The sequence below is a fragment of the Homo sapiens genome, chromosome 14 (genome assembly GCF_000001405.40).
Source record: "Homo sapiens chromosome 14, GRCh38.p14 Primary Assembly".
Taxonomy (NCBI): Eukaryota; Metazoa; Chordata; class Mammalia; order Primates; family Hominidae; genus Homo; species Homo sapiens.
The window spans coordinates 65650210-65668014 of NC_000014.9; the positions used below are offsets into that span (position 1 = coordinate 65650210).

Here is a 17805-nt window from a genome sequence, read left to right on the forward strand (position 1 = left end):
AATGGCGTGAACCTGGGAGGCGGAGCTTGCAGTGAGCCGAGATCGTGCCACTGCACTCCAGCCTGGGTGACAGAGTGAGACTCTGTCTCAAAAAAAAAAAAAAAAAAAAAAAAAAAAACCTGAGACTGGGTAATTTATAAAGAAAGGAGGCCTAATTGGTTCACTGTTCTATAGGCTGTGCAGGAAGCATAGTGGCTTCTGGGGAGGCCTCAGGAAACTTACAATCATGGCAGAAGGGGATGTGAGATGTCTTACATGGTGGAGCAGGAGCAAGAGAGAGAGCAGGGAGGTGCCACACACCTTTAAACAGTCAGATCTCCTGAGGACTCTATCGTGAGAAAAATACTAGCAGGGTGTTAAGCCATTTGTGAAAAACGGCCCTCATGATCCAGTCACCTTTCACCAGGCCCCACCTCCAGCACTGGGGATTGCATTTCAACTTGAGATTTGGGTGGGGACACAGATCCAAACCAGATCACTGTAATTCCTGCTAATTACAAAAAAAAAAAAAAAAAAAAAACAAAAAAAACCACAAACTTGTAATTTCCTATTTTTTGTGTGTTTACTTATTTATTTTACTTCCTATATATCCCAGCCAAGGGTACTAGAGGCCTGCAGCTAGAAACCTTAGTGGACAGAGAGGGGGGAAAAAAAAGCCCCATTTTAATGATATCTATCCAGTTGCAGTCCCTTCCCCAGGTGCTGTAGCTATGGAGATTGTGCATGTAGCCCTGTCCCTCATTCCTGTCCTGCAATAATGAGGGTGCCCCTCCCACTCCCACTGAACACTGTTCCTACCACTCCCACTGGGCACTGCTGCCATGGAAACTGTGGATGGAGCTGCAATAACAAGTTTGCAGCCCTCCCCAATGGATGCTACAGCCACAGAGACTGTGGGCAAAGCCCTGACCGCCGTTTCCATCCCCTAACCCTCCCAACTAGAGTGTGGAGGGAGGATTAAAAAGAGGAGGGAGTTAGAGAAAGAGACTTAAAAAAATCTGTGTTTGAAATCCTGGGCAGATTTCTTAGCATCCCTTTCATGAAACTGATTAGAATCAATACAGAAAAAGGTTTTAGAATTGGGCTCTGCTGTGTTATACCACCCAGGTTTCAGACTGGCCTCTGGGTAGCCCAGTGGGGCAGAACAGAACAACACTAAAAAGACCCTAACAATTAAATTGACATTTGATTCACAGCCCATAAAAGTTGGCTAAGACATGCATTGTGAATCTAAACAACTTGATTGCCTATCAAAGTAGAAAATTTAAACAACAGAGTCTCCTAACATAATATTCATCATATCAAGAACCAAGAAAATCTTAATTCGAATGATGAAAGTTAATCAGCTGACACTACACTAAGTTGACACAGATGTTGGAATTGTCTGACAAGGATTTTAAAGAAGCTATAATAATAAATATACTCCAATTACAATTACAGTCTTGAAACAAATGAAAAAATAGAAAGTGTCACCAAAGTAATAGATGATATAAGGGAGAAACAAATGGAAATTTTAGAACTGATAAATATAATAAACTAAATTAAAAATTAGCTCAGTAGTAAAATAGAGATGACAGAGGAAAGAAATGGTGCACTCAAATTTAGATCAATATAAATTATGCAGTCTGAACAACAGAGAGAATAAAGATTTTAAAAAGGTGAAGAGAGTCTTATGGGGACCTCTGAGAAAATTACAGAAACATCTTCATATTTGTATCATTGAAATCCCAGAAGAAGAAAAGTAGGAGTGAGAGATTGAAGAACATATTTGAAGAACAGAGAGACACAGGGAAAAAGCCAGTGAAGTCAGGTAGTGATTGGAGAGATGTGTCTACAAGCCAAGGAATGACAAGGATGGCTGGCAACCACCAGAAGCCGGGAGAGAGACATGGAACAACTTCTTCCTTAGAGCCTCCAGAAGAAGCCAACCCTGCCAACACCTTGATTTTGGACTTCTGGCTTCCAGATCTGCCAAGAAACCAAAAGACAGGATGAGAATCAACACTTTGTAAGAGCCTTCAGTGGACCAGAAGCTGGAAAGGCCAGATACTCGCTTTCCTAGCACCCTCCCTGTTTTGTATGCCCTCTGCTAGGATGGCTGTGCGATTTGCTCCTGGTTGATTCAATATAAGAGGAAGTTGGCTGGTGGGAACGTCAGAGAAATGTTTTTCTTTCTGATAAAAATGGAGAGCACATAAGAAAAAAACTTTTAGTGTACTTCTTCTTCTGGCCTTTGGATATGATGTGAGAAGCTTGAGAGGACATGATGCTTTGGAGCTGTTACAACCATCTTGTGACCATGAGGCATTCAGATAAAAAGCTAACATTCTGAGGCTGGTGAAGAAGAGACTGGCTGGAAACAGGAAAACATTCCTGGGACTGTCTTCTGATTTTCTTATTAGGTAAACAACGTGTTCTTAGTGCTTAAGCACTTTTTTTTTTTTTAAATACAACCAAAAGCAGTCTTAACTGATGCACAAGCCAGGTGCCTGACACAATGGGGGTCAATATGTATTTATTGGATAAAGGAATAAGAGAAAGAATGAATGAAACTTCTACTAAACCTACCTATACTCCAGCTGTCCCTGTTAACAGGACCTCATGTGGAATACTTGAAGGCTGGGCTGGAATCATCTGAGAGCACATTCTCTTGGCTGATGCTGGAAAGAGCCAAACATTTGGAGCATGCGATAGCAGGGGATCATTGGCCATCTCTCTCTGTATTGGTCTTTTCAGTATTGCAACTTCAAGGTAGTAGGATTTTTTACAAGGTAGCTGAGGGCTCCAAAGGTAGTCACTTCAAGAGGCAGAGATAGATGGAGAACAAGCCAGGAGGAATGTGTGTCCTTGATATAACCTAGCCTCAGAAGTCACATAGCATCACTTCTGCCCTACTGTATTGGTTAGAGCAGTCATGAGCCCCACTAGGTAGAAGAGGAGAGGTAGAGATCTCCTCTCTTGGTGGAGAGGGGATGGTTGTAGAAAAGCATGTGGAACTGGAAATATTGCCAGGGCTATTTATTTATTTATTAGTTTATTTTTGAAAATCCAGTCTGCTACAGTGCCTTATATACACCTCTATTATCAGATTGACCATCTCGATGTCATTCATGTCTTTCATGTCTATCCTTCTGACTGAAGGATGCAAGCACCTGGAAGTTTTAGTCTGTGATTTATTAACTTTAGTATCTCTGATACCTTTATAAAGATATGTTTAATAAATGCCTTATTTTGAAGAAAAGAAAAGAAATTGAAGAAGTGACAGAAAACTTCTTAAATTTGGCAAACCTAAATATTCAAGAAGCTGGGCAAACTCCTAACAGGAAAAACTCAGATCCATTCCCAGATACTTTTTAAGTAATTTGCTGAAAACTGAAAACAATGAAAAAAATCTTGAGAGCAGCCAGAGAGAAGCAGCGCATTAATTGTAGAGGAACAATTTGAATGACTCTGGGTTTCTTATCAGAAAACATGGAAGCCAAGAGAAGTAGGAAAACTGTATCGTTTGTTTTGAGCCAACATCTTGCTATTTTGCCCATTCTGGTCTCAAACTCCTGACCTCAAACAATCCTCCTGCCTTGGCCTCCGAAAGTGCTGGGATTATAGGCTTTGAACCAGATTTAAAACCTTGTGCTGAAAGGAAAGAATTACCATCCAGAATTTTTCACCTAGGGAAAATACAACGAAGTGAGAAAAAGACATTTTCGGATGAAAGAAAACTCGGAGACTTCATTGCCAGCAGACTTGCGTAAAAAAGGAAGTTCTTCAGACAAAAAATGATGACAGAAGGGAATTCTGCTGGAACATCAGAATGAAGAAAGTACAAATTAATAGGTATAGGGAATTGCCTAATCTTCTCCTGTTGAGTTTTTAAAATGTTGGGTAAGAAGCAAAATTTTTTACAATGGCCGATGTGGTTCTTAATGTTTATGAAGGTGATTTTTAAAACAATGTCATAAAAGTGGGGAGAGTAAAGGAACCTAAAAAGTAGGAAGGTTTCTGCATTCCATTTCAAATGGCAAAATGTTGAGTAGACTGTAATAATTGTTGTATATAGATATAATTATCCCTAGATTAACTACTAAAAATGCTCTATAGGCCAGGCACGGTGGAGCACGCCTGTAATCCCTGCACTCTGGAAGGCCAAGGCAGGCGGATCACCTGAGGTCAGGAGTTGGAGACCAGCCTGACCAACATGGAGAAACCTCGTCTCTACCAAAATACAAAAATTAGCCGGGCATGGTGGCATGTGCCTGTAATCCCAGCTACTCGGGAGACTGATGCAGGAGAAGTGTTGCTTGAACCTGGGAGGCGGAGGTTGCAGTGAGCTGAGTTCGTGCCACTACACTCCAGCCTGGGCGACAGAGCAAGATTCTGTCTCCAAAAAAAAAAAAGCTCTATAAAAAGATATTTTAAAACACTATAGAAGACCATACTTTACAGGAACCATTTCTGTAGTTCCTTAAAACACTATAGATAAATCAAAATTAAATACTAAAAAAGGTTCAGAGTATGCATAGACAAGGAGAAATGGGAACAACAAAAGGAGCAAATAAAAAACAATAAAGTGGCGTACTTAAATCCCAACATGTCAATAATTGCATGAAATATAAATACAAATGATCTAAACATACCAGTTAAGAAAGAGAGAAAAAAAAATACAGGACAAAGACTGGCAGAATGGTGTTTTTTTGTTTTTGTTTTTGTTTTTGATACAGAGTTTTGCAGAGACAGGGTTTCTCCATGTTGGTCAGGCTGATCTCGAACTCTGACCTCAGGTGATCCGCCCACCTCGGCCTCCCAAAGTGCTGGGATTATAGGCGTGAGCCACTGTGCCTGGCCTATTTTTTATTTTAATGATCCAACTATATGCTGTCCCCCCAAGAAACTAACTTCACATATAACGATATAGGTAGATTAAAAGTGAAATGATGGGCAGATACACCATGCAAACAATAATCAAAAGAAAGATAGAATGACTGGGCTGGGCACGGTTGCTCACGCCTGTAATCCCAGCACTTTGGGAGGCTGAGGCGGGCAGATCATGAAGTCAGGAGATCGAGACCATTCTGGCTAACACGGTGAAACCCCGTCTCTACTAAAAATACAAAAACAAAATTAGCTGGCATGGTGGTGGGCACCTGTAGTCCCAGCTACTCGGGAGGCTGTGGCAGGAGAATGGCATGAACCTGGGAGGCGGAACTTGCAGTGAGCCGAGATCACGCCGCTGCACTTTAGCCTGGGCGACAGAGCAAGACTCCGTCTCAAAAAAAAAAAAAAAAAAAGTACAGTGACTGTATTAATCTCAGACAGAATAGACTTCAGAGCAAAGAAAACTAGCAGAGACAAAGGAAGATATAACGATAATAAAATGATCAATTTACCAAAAAAATGTAATTTTAAACATGTGCACTTAACAGGTTTTCAAAATATATGAAGCAGAAACTGGCAGAACTGAAAGGAGAACAGACAAATATAGTTGGAGACTTTAATATCCCTCTTTCAATAATTGATGGAAGCATTAGACCGAAAACAAACAAGGTCATTCATCATGACCAAGTGGGATTTATCCCTGGGACACAAGAATTGTTCAACATACACAAATCAATCATTGTGATACATCATTATCAACAGAATGAATGACAAAAACCGTATGATCATTTCAATTGATGCTGAAAAGCATTTAATAAAATTTAACTTCCCTTCATGATAAAAACCCTCAAAAAACTCGGCATAAAGGGAATATACCTCAACATAATAAAAGCCATATACAACAGACCCATAACTAGTACCATAATGGGGGAGAAACTGAAAGACTTTTCTCTAAGATCTGGAGCATGGCAAGGAGGCCCACTTTCACCACTGTTATTCAACATAGTGCTGATTACTCTAGGTAGAGTAATCAGACAAGAGAAAGAAATGACCAACATCCAAATTAGAAAGGAAGAAATCAATTTATTCTTGTTTGCAGACTATATGGTTCAATATTTGAAAAAATCTAAAGACTCTTCCAAAAAAAAAACTACTAGAACTGATAAATTCAGTGAGGTTGCAGGTACAAAGTCAACACACAAATATCAGTATTGTTTCAAAGTCAACACACAAATATCAGTATTGTTTCTATATGCCAACAGTGAGCAATCTGAAAAAGAAATTTAAAAAAGTAATCTCATTTGCAATAGCTACAAATAAAATTAAGTAACAAGAAATTAACCAAAGAAGTAAAGGATCTCTACAATGCAAACTATAAAACATTGATGAAGGAAATTGAAGAGAACATAAAAAATGGAAAGATATTCTATGTTCATGGATTGGAAGAATAAATATTGTTAAAATGTTTATACTATCCAGAGTAATCTATAGATTCAGTGTAATCCCTATCAAAATAACCAGTGACACTCTTCACAGAAATAGAAAAAAGAATCTAAAACTTACATGGAATCACAAAAAAACCAGAATAGTCAAAGCTATCCTGAGCAAAAACCTCAAAAGTAGAGGAATCACACTGCCTGAGGAAACTGGAGGAATCACACTGCCTGACTTCAAATTATATACTACAGAGCTATAGTAACCAAAACAGCATGGTACCGGCATATAGACCATAGACCAATGGAACAGGTGGAGAACCCAGAAACAAATCTGTTATCTACAGTAAACTCATTTTCAACGAAAGTCACAAACTTACACTGGGGAAAGGAAAGTCTCTTCAATAAATGGTGCTGGGAAAACTGGATATCCATATGCTCAGGAATTATATTAGACCCCAGCCTCTCACCATATACGCAAATCAAAATGAACTAAAGACTTAAATCTGAGACCTCATACTATGAAACTACTAAAAGGAAACATTGGGGAAACTCTCCAGGACACTGGTTTGAGTGGGTAAAGATTTCTTAAGTAATACCCGATAAGCACAGGCAACCAAAGCAAAAATGGACAAATGGGATCTTATCAAGTTAAAAACCTTCTGCCTGCACAGCAAAGGGAGCAGTCAACAAAGTGAAGAGGCAACACACAGAATGTAAATTAGTACAACCACTATGAAGAACAGTTTGGGCGTTCCTCATAAAAGTAAAAATTGAACTACCATATGATCCAGCAACCCAGCTGCTGGGTATATAATGAAAGGAAATCAGTATATTGAAGAAATATTTGCACTTCCATGTTTACTGCAGCACTTTCCACAATAGCCAGGATTTGAAAGCAACCTAAGCGCCCATCAGCAGATGAATGAACAAAGAAAATATGTGATACCTATACACAATGGAGTACTATCCAGCCATAAAAAAGAATGAGATCCTGTCATTAGCAACAACATGGATGGAACTGGAGATCATTATCTTAAGTGAAATAAACCAGGCAAAGAAAGACACACTTGGCATGTTCTTACTTATTTGTGGGAGCTAAAAATTAAAACAAATTGAACTCATGGAGATAGAGACTAGAATGATGGTTACCAAAGGCTGGGAAGGGTAGTTGTGGGGGCGGGTAAGGGGACGTGGTTAATGGGTACAAAAAATAGTTAGAAAGAAAGAATAAGAAAGAAAGAATATCTCACAGCACAGCAGGGTGATAGTCAATAATACATTTAAAAATAACTAAAAGAGTATAATTGGATTGTTTGTAACACAAAGGATGGCTACCCCATTTACCCTGATGTGATTTTTCATGCATGGTATGCCTATGTAAAAATACCTTATGTACCCCATAAATATATATACCTACTATGTACTCAAAAAAATTAAAAATTAAAGAAAAACAATGCTAGAAAAATAGAAACTTTTTACTTACCAGCAACCCCGTTAAAGAGGATGAAAGAGAAGCCATAGACTGAGAGAAATCTTTGCAAATCACATGTCCAACGAAGGCATGTATAGACAATGTATTAAGAACTCTCCAATCTCAATAGTAAGAAACAATCTAATTAGAAAATAGGCAAAAGTCTTGTACAGACGGCTATGCAAAAGACATATACAGATGACAAATAAGCACATGAAAAATGTTAAAAAATCATTAGTTATTAGGGAAATGCAAAAGACATGATGAGATACAATTAGTCACCTGTCAGAATGACTAAAATAAAAAATGCCAAGAATGTGGAACAACCAGCTCTTTCATGCATTGCTTATGAGAATGTAAAATGGTACAGCCATTCTAGGAAACAGTTTGGTAGTTCTCCATAAACATACCATTACCAATATGATCCAGCAATCACATTCCTGTATATCCTAGAGAAAACCCATGTCCACACAGAAACTTGTACACTCATGTGCATAGCATCTTAGTTTGTAATAACCAAAAAGTGGAAACAACCCAAATGTCCTTCAGTGGGTAAATAAACTGTGATATAATCCACATAATAGAATACTACCTAGTAATAAGAAATGAGCTATTACACACAAGTTGGATGGATCTCAAGAGCATTGTGCTGAGTAATAAGGCAATCTCAAAAGATTAACTACTATCTAATTCCATTTATAATGCTCTTAAAGTGACTAAATTATAGTGATGGAGAGCAGTTCAGCGGGTTCCAGAGATTAAGATTTGGGGAAGAGTGTACCTCTAAATTGGAAGTATAAGGGGTTTCTTTGCTTTGATGGTACAGCTTGTATCCTAATTTTGGTGGTGGTTGCATGAGTGTATACGTATTATAAAATCTGAGTGCACGTGAAAACTGGTAAAATCTAAAAAAGTCTGTAGTTAATAGTATTGTATAATGTCAATTTCCTGATTTTGATAAGGTACTATTGTTAAGTAATATGTTCTCCTTGGGGAAAGCTTTTTGGAAGGTACGCTGTAAGTATAGTAACTCTCTGTACTATTTTGGCAGTTTATTATGGATCTTAAGTTATTTCAAAATAAAAGTAAAAAAATACAGTGTTAAAAATATTTGAGGAGTAAAGAATAAAATGAACTGGTTACAGTACTGTTCATTGAGGTGGTTTGAGAAAGGTGATCTTGAGGTGTTTTTTGTTTTTTGTTTTGTTTTTTTTTCATTAAAAAAACAATAATAGCTGGGGATTCCAGAGAAATTCATGCTCAGCTAACAGTGTATTTTTCATGTATGGCTGGCTGCATGGAGAAATGAGACAAAGACTCCGTCTTCGAGAAGAGGTATCCAGATTTGAAATCTAGTCTAATTGTTGTTGATGGTTTGGTTTTAAAGCCAGTGAATAGACAAGTGCTGTAAGTACCAGTACTACCCAGAAGAATGGTACTTTGCAGAATGGAAAAACCAGCAAAACTGTGTAACTTAAAACTCTGACTTTTATTTAAAACGAAACATTTGGAGCAGCTTTTGCACAGGAACAGTTTCAACCATTGTTTTCCTTTTGCAAGTACTTCATCTTTTACACTTGATCTTAGCCAAAAGGCCGAGAACTGATACTTTATCTTTTTACTCCTGTGTAGTAAGACAGGGCTAACTATTCATAGGCATGCTTTTTACTCCTTTTCCCTTTCCACCCTCTTCCTCTTCCCCTTTCTGTCCTCTTCTCTCGTCCGCCTTTCTTCCCCTCTGTTCTCCTCCCAACTCCCCTTTTTTCTATCTTATTTCCTCCTCTCCTCTTTTCTCTTCTCACTCCCTTTTTGAAAAGAGTACCTGTCATATTTTTGAGGAAAGAGACCGTAATGAATTCTGTCAACTAAAATGATGACGGAGGACCTTTCTAAAATTCAATCTTAATTTTGTAAGCATGCTCTTTATAACCTCAACAGTTAAATTGATTCTGAGACCTGGGAATTAGGGTATAAACTTACAGAGAAAAGTTGAGGTGCTTGAGAAGATACATTTTCTGTGCATTTATATAGGATTGTCAGATTCTGGCTCCTCATGTAACTCAACTTCTGTATCCTTGGAGGTAGTTTTATTTACATTATATTCTTGAATGAGAATATGCATCATTAATTATCTGCCTTTCCTTTGTGGCCCTTCTGATGGCAGAAAAATATTACCAAGGTTATTCTAGCATGCAAGTCTCTTGAAACTAAGTTGAGGGTTTTCTAGAGACCACCTGGAACTCCCAGAGGTAACAGAATACTGTCTTGAAAGCCTCAGTGGAAGAAATGCCCCACATTTGCTTGTTGCTTTCTATTGGATTTATGGAATTTCCATCTTTTAAAAATGACTTTAAAGCATTTAATAGAGACTTTCAGGTAAAGAGCAAAAGTTTTTAAAATGTATTATTTAAAGTAAGCTAAATGTGGCTTTACTTACCAAGATAAGCTTTCCTCTTCTATGACCATATAGTAACTATCTGCCTTTGCTGCAGTCTTTCAGTCTATAAACTCTGTATCTTGGTATCTTTCCTCCCTTTAGTTTCTACTCTTAGATTTTACAGAATACCCATAGGGAAATTGATTTCCTGAAGCACTTGGTAAACTACTTGGGCCTGAGCTATTGTGTTGTCCTTACTACTTGGTACAGATTAGATTGTTCTTTGCTAGAGGGGTGGAAAGGATGCCTTAGTACAGTCTTAACTTTGCTATGGAAATATTCTTGTTTAATATGTTAAGGGACAATAATTTCTGGTCTTGGCTTTTAAAAGTGAGCATGCTTTTTAATTGCCTCTTTCATGGTTATTAACTGAGTCTTCATTTTAATTACCACAATGGAGTACTTCAGTTCTCTTATTTGCTTCATTACCTTTTCTCCTTGGTTTTGAAAATAATGTTAGAGAAATAAAATCAGATTGTTTCTAATATAATGAAATGCTTTCACTACACTATTAATGAATTCGTTCTTCATTACCAGCACAAAGCTAGATATTGCAAATCTTTTTAAACAAATAAAAACTGTTTAGTCTTCTGATTAGAGCAGACAAAGAGCACAGTAAAATTTAACTCACCTGGCCTGATCCCTTTTTTTGGTTTTTACTGAGCTGTCTTCACTGGAAATAGGAGCTATCTTTGACTTAACTCCTTCCAATAGAAGGAATTTCTTAGGGAGGAGCTGGAAGGATCTCCTGGGGTTCTGATTCTTAATTTTCAGTTTACAGAAATAGCCAGATAGGTGTTTTGAGCCTGGACTTCTTGCTGCATCTTGTATTGAAGACATCATGGTGAAATCGATAAGGGCAGTGGACAGTGGATCAAGAGCCCTGAACAGGTCTCTTGAACCTGAACAGATTTGCCACCTGTTAATTTATTTTTATGACTATGGACTTGACATCACCTTTGTCTCTGTAGATGTAATTCAGTTGAACTAATGGTTATTGAGCATTTACTGTTTGCAAAAGGCAGCTGGAGATATTATGTCCAGTTTATATTTACTAAATGTTTTCTTTGTTGTTAATTTAGCCTTTTTCTGCAATGTTTTTGGTCAGTAGTAACTCTGGGCAGGTGAGGGCAATTACATTGTGGCTGGAAAATTTGTACTCTGAAGTTGCTTTTATTGGTGTGTAGGAAAAATCTTTATTAAAAGTCATAGAAAAAAATCATTTAATTTATAAGCCACAAAATCAGTACTATTTTGTAATATGTTGTAATTCACATTGCTACTAATTTACTAAGTGGAGTCAGTGGAAACCCATAAATCCTAGTAGTAGTGCCTAAGTAGTAGAAGAACGCCTATGGTTTACTAGTTGATTGAAAATTGTTCTTTTTTTGCAAAGTGGAAATTAACCTGGTGTGCTAATTTGAAATATGTCTAACAGTGACTATTTTTATATTTTAACCTAAGTAAAATATCTCAGCGTTATGATGGTGTGTTTACTGAATTAGTAATCATTTATTTCTAAGGACTGCTGCTTTCCTTCAAATACCATTTTGGTTAGAGGCTTATTGATTCAAGTATTGTTCCTAATTGTTGATTTACAGGGCAGAGAGAGCAAATACAGCTTTCAGCTCTGTTGAAGCAGGGTCATTCTTGGAAACTAATAGTGTCAGATGAAATGCCTCAGATAGTGTAAAAGAAAATAATTGGGCCAGGAGTGGTGGCTCATGCCTGTAATCCCAGCACTTTGGGAGCCTGACGTGGGAGAATGGCTTAAGCTCACAGGTTCGGATCAGCCTGGGCAACATGGGAAAACCCATCTCTACAAAAAACTAAAAAAGTTAGCTGGGCTACTTGGGGGGATGAGGTGGGAGGATGGCTTGAGCCCAGGAGGTTGAGGTTGTGGTGAACTGTGATTGCACCACTGCACTCCGGCCTGAGCAATAGAGCCAGACCTTGTCTCAAAAATAATAATAATAATTGAAGAAAATAAAAAGGGACCTGAATTCAGAAGAATCCTGTTATATCTTAAATCCTTATTTCTTGATTTATATGTACTATGATGACAGCTTTGCTGATGAATTATAATTACAAAAATGTTACATAATGTTGTTAGCATATAAAGACTCGTGATTGAGCTACCTTGCAACACTAATACTCAAAAAGAACACACACATACAAAAAACTGGATTTATTCAGTGTGAAATAATGTCTCTTGAAATTATGAGAATAAATAAGTATGTTCAAATTAATTTTGTGCATACACCAGCTCATTTATTTAGCCTCATAGTAGCTCTGAGAAAGAAGGGCGAGTGAACAGGGAGAGGTTGTGTAGGGAGGTAATTTTTGTGTCTATTTTAAACTAACCAATTGAAACCAAATCACACAACTGAGTTCATAACAGAACCTTCACTGGACCAAAATCATATCTTTAACCTCTCTATCCAAGCTCTTTCATTAGAGAATGTTGTCTTAAGTAATTTTCACAGATTTACCTTGTATTTCTAAAACTTGAATTATCATTATTGCAAGGAGCTAGAATATATCTGCCTATTAGTGAGTCTGACTTTTAAGTAGATCCCATATATAAAAATCTCATATTATAAAATATAATTTATTATGTTTATAGTTTAGAGTAAAGCTTCTTTTAGTAATGAGACCCTTCTATATATCTTGCTCATGGATATGACACATTTTCTAGTCTTTTGCAGGCATCAACTGGATAGTATAAAACTAGGATCAGTGGTAACTGACAAGAGCTATTTGGTAAGAAATTTGAAAATTACAAAACTATGGCTCTGTATCCCTTTTATAGAGTCCCATAAATCTCTTTATATTTGTTGCTATTCTGGAACTATGCTGAATAACAAAGGCTTAGCTCAGAAGAGGGGTTTTCTATGAAGTTCTTTTCATCAGAATAAATTCCTGTTCATTTCAGAGTTGTTGCTTTATTTTTTTTTTCTAGATACGTACTCTGATAAACCTAATCTTGTGTTAGGAACATAAATACCTTTTCTGTTCTTTAGTGTCCTCTGCCTTTTTCTGGAACTTTTATGAGCAAGTTATTTTGAATTTTCCAGACTTTTAAGTATTATTTGGACAAAAAAATTGGGCTATGGCTCTGAGCTTTTTCAGTGTTTAATTTACTGTTATCAGTACAGTCATTCATTTTCTCGTATCACCCTTCAAGTCTTCCATTGATTACCTTATATGTATAGACCTTTCTCATTTCAGAATCAAGCATAATGGATTTTCCCTCTTTCTTTATGTCCTCTATGACATAAACAGAAAAGAATTAATATAGTCTATCTTCAGCTTGATTTGAGATATACTAAGCATCATTCATTAAGCCGCTTGTACAGATTGCCCTTTTAGGTCTCAGCTCTTGTGCTCAAAGCTTTAGGTTCTAGTCAAACTCTGTTCTCAACACAGTGAATATACTTTCTTAAATGCAGATGTGAGTCTTCTTTTAAATAGAAAATCTATAGTTTCCAAACTAAAGGTCAGATGTTTCAATTATTATGTTCCTTCACTCTTTTTTTCCTTAAAAAAGAAGAAGAAGACTAACATAAGATGTAATAGTAGGGGAAATTGGGTGTTAGGTATATGGGGATTCTCTGTACTATCTTTGCAGTAATTCAGTACATCTAAAAACTGTTCTAAAAGAAAAGGTTTATTGAAGAAGATATGAGGGACATTTTCTTTTTCATTCATATGAATTTTAGTGATATTCAGGTACTCTATTTCTCATGAAAATCTGACAAATGTCACTGTTGTTTGTCCGTACTTTTGATCAACTGAGTCAATAATAAACCTTTGAATCAGTTCGAGAATATTATTTATTCCCAGGATCCTTATATAATATTGTACAGAAATTAAATGATACAGATCTCCCATTCCCACATGATACCACACTCCTCTGTTTCTCTCAGATCTTTTGTGGCTATAGCAACAAGTGTGAGAATGCTTATTGCTTTAGGAGTCTGCCATGAGTTCACATTTTCAAAGAATCAGCAACTCTACTACTTGATTGTGGAAACAATATTGACCAAATCTTGCTGAATTTTATCAGGGTTCTCTCAGATTCAAAAAGGCTCTTAACTCTTCCTAAGGTACTTGATGGTATGGGTTCTGCTTTGATCTAAAAAAAGACCAGCTTGCTGTGACACATTTGAATATGAAAGGTACTTCTTCTGGAGGTAACTTGTAGTTTCCCTTCTCAGTCTTTCCTTTGGAATCATTTTATAGACTGCAGCTTTTGTTTCTAGGGCTCTGCTTGACAGGACAGATAATATCCCTGGAAAATAGTTTTAGAGTTGATGTTTGGTGACTGCATTATTCAAGGCTCATATAAATTGAGAACTGGTTACATTGCCTCTTGCTATGTAGGATAAAAGCTTCTGTTCTTGGAATTACCCGTCCTCTCTCTTGTAGACAAAATAGCTAGGAAAACTGCTCAGACTGATTTTGTTATATGAAGAACTAAGATGCCTAGGAATAATTTAGCAATAGCTCATCCAAATTAAAGCAGAGTTGAACTTTAGAATGGAAAAAAAAAAGAAATTATCATGTTAGCTAAACATTTGCTGTCTGGATCTCCCAGTTAAAAAGTGGCATAATACTTCTCAAGTTAGCCAGTATAGAACATGTTCCACATTCAGTTGTGAAAATGGCTGGTAGCTATTATCAAGTATGATTTTTTAAATGTTCCATGCCTGATATTTTGTAATTGTTGAATTCAGATATCCCTCTACTCAGTGGCTTTTACTTCATAATGAAAAAGTAGATTTGGTTGTAATATATAAAATTGTGAAGATAGATGGAATTAATAGAGAAATTAGAGTTTTTCTTTTAAGATAATTTGAGTTTCATCATAGAAGGTAAGCTCAGAATGCTGAAATGCTGCTGGAATAAATGAACTGTTTTACTTTTTTCATAAAGATATTGATGTATGCAACTTTGAATTCAGAGATGATTCCATTTGCATGTTCTGAGTGATGAATAAGTGAAAGAAATAAAAGACTGAGGAATAAAGAAGTGAAAGAAAGAACTTATACACTGCTGGTGGGAGTGTAAATTAGTTCAGCCATTGTAGAAAGCAGTGTGGAAATTACTCGAAGAACTTTTACTACCATTTGACCCAGCAGTCCCATTACTGGATATATACACAAAGGAATATAAATCATTCTACCGTAAAGATACATGTATGCATATGTTCATTGCAGCACTATTCACGGTAGCAAAGACATGGAATCAACCTAAATGCCCATCAGTGGTAGAATGGCTAAAGAAAGTGTCATACATATACACCATGGAATACTGTGCAACCATAAAAAAGAATGAGGTCATCTCCTTTGCAGGGACATGGATGGAGCTGGAGGCCATTATCCTTAGCAAACTAATGCAGAAACAGAAAACCAAATACTGCATGTTCTCACTTATAAGTGGGAGCTAAATGAAGAGAACACATGGACACAGATGGGCACCACAGACACTGGGGCCTATCGGAGGGTGGACAATGGGAGGAGGGAGAGGATCAGGAAAAGTAACTAATGAGTACTAGACTTAAAACCTGAGTGACTAAATAAAGTGTACAACAAACCCCCATGACACAAGTTAACCTGTATACAAACCTACACGTGTACCCTTAAACTTAAAATTTAAAAAAAAAACAAAATGCAATGTTAAAAAAGAGAAGTGAAAGAATTTTTTAAATGTAACTGCTTAATTTCACATTGTTTACAGTTCTTCTCAAGTAAGCTTCTTTTCACTGCAATCTCCTTAAATATGTACATACGGTTTTCTTTGGATTCACTGAAATCCAATCCAGCAGGATTCTTTCCTGAATAAGAAACGTACTGGATCAGTCCTGACCTATTTTATGATTTTTGGTACTTGTCACCTGTAAAGAGAAGTTAAGGGAACATCACCACCAACCCCACAGAAATACAAAAATACCATCAGAGACTATGTTCATAACACTCTGTGAACACAAATTAGAAAACCTACAAGAAAAAGATAAATTCCTGGAAACATACAACCTCCCAAGACTGAACCGGGAAGAAATTCATACCCTGAACAGACCAATAACAAGTTCTGAAATTGAATCAGTAATAAAAAGCCTGCCATCCAGAAAAGTCCCAGGACCAGATAGCTAAATTCTGCCATACGTATAAGAAGACCTGGCACCATTCCTACTGAAACTATTCCAAAAAATTGAGGAGGAGAGACTCCTCCCTAACTCATTCTGTGAGGGCAGCATCATTCTGATACCAAAACCTGGGAAAGACACAAGAACAAAAAGAAAACATCAGTCCAATATCCTTGATGAACATAGATGCAAAAATCCTCAACAAAATAATAGCAAGCCAAATCCAGCAGCATATCAAAAAGTTAATTCACCGCGATCAAATAGGCTTTATCCCTGGGATGCAAGATTGGTTCAACATACACAAATCCATAAATGTGATTCATCACATAGGCAGAACTAAAAACAAAAAAATTATCTCAATAGATGCAGAAAAGGCTTTCAATAAAATTCAGACTCTCTTCATGTTAAAAATCCTCAACAGACTAGCCATCGAAGGAACATACCTATAAATAGTAAGACCTACCTGTGACAGACCCACAGACAACATCATACTGAGTGGACAAAAGCTGGAAGCCTTCCCCTTGAGAACCAGAACAAGACAAGGATGCCCACTCTCACCATTGCTGTTCAACATAGTTCTAAAAGTCCTAGCCAGAGCAGACAGGCAGGCAAGAGAAAAAAATTAAAGGCATCCAAATAGGAAGAAAGGAAGTCAAACTACCTCTCTTTGCAGGCAATATGATCCTAAACCTAGAAAATCCCATATTCCCTACCCAAAAGCTCCTAGATCTGACAAACAACTTCAGCAAAGTTTCATGCTACAAAATCAGTGTACAAAAATCAGTAGCATTTCTATACATCAGTAATATCCAAGGTGAGAGCTCAATCAAGAATGCAATCCTAGTCAAAATTGCCACAAAAAGAATAAAATACCTAAGAATACTGCTAACTAGGGAGGTGCAAGATCTCTACAAGGGGAATTACAAAACACTGCTCAAAGAAATCAGAGATGACACAAACAAATGGAAAAACACTCCAGGCTCATGGGTAGGAAGAATCAGTATCATTAAAATGGCCATAGTGCCCAAAGCAATCTACAGATTCTATGCTATTCCCATCAAACTACCGATGACATTCTTCACAGAACTAGAAAAAACTGATTTAAAATTCATACAGAATCAGAAAAAAGCCTGAATAGCCAAAGCCATCCTAAGCAAAAAGAACAAAGCTGGAAGCACCGCATTACCCGAATTCAAACTATACTGCAAGGCTGCAGTAACCATGGTATGGGTACCAAACACCATGGTACCCATACCATGTATCACCATACCAAACAGCATGGTACTGGTACAAAAACAGACATATAGACCAGTGGTACAGAATGGAGAGTCCAGAAATAAAGTCATATACCTACAACTTTCTAATCTTTGACAAAGCTGACAAAAACAAGCCAAGGAGAAAGGACTCCCTATTCAATAAATTGTGCTGGGATAACTGGTTA

General features: G+C 37.1%; 1 protein-coding gene across 13 annotated transcripts in view, besides 2 other annotated features; it reads left to right on the forward strand.

Moving 5' to 3' along the window:
- Positions 1-17805, forward strand: part of FUT8 (fucosyltransferase 8) — a 387280-nt gene that overhangs the window by 293368 nt on the left and 76107 nt on the right. The window lies entirely within an intron of this gene.
- Positions 13937-14697: an enhancer, noted in NCBI's record as "OCT4-NANOG hESC enhancer chr14:66130864-66131624 (GRCh37/hg19 assembly coordinates)". NCBI's record gives its function as "activates a minimal SCP1, AML or CMV promoter by ChIP-STARR-seq in primed H9 embryonic stem cells {active_cell/tissue: H9 hESC(primed)}" and the evidence as "EXISTENCE:reporter gene assay evidence [ECO:0000049][PMID:30033119]".
- Positions 16298-16467: an enhancer, noted in NCBI's record as "experimental_35248 CRE fragment used in MPRA reporter constructs". NCBI's record gives its function as "activates a minimal promoter by MPRAs in K562 erythroleukemia cells, with activity observed for both the introgressed and non-introgressed 14:66133310 variant alleles {active_cell/tissue: K562}" and the evidence as "EXISTENCE:reporter gene assay evidence [ECO:0000049][PMID:34662402]".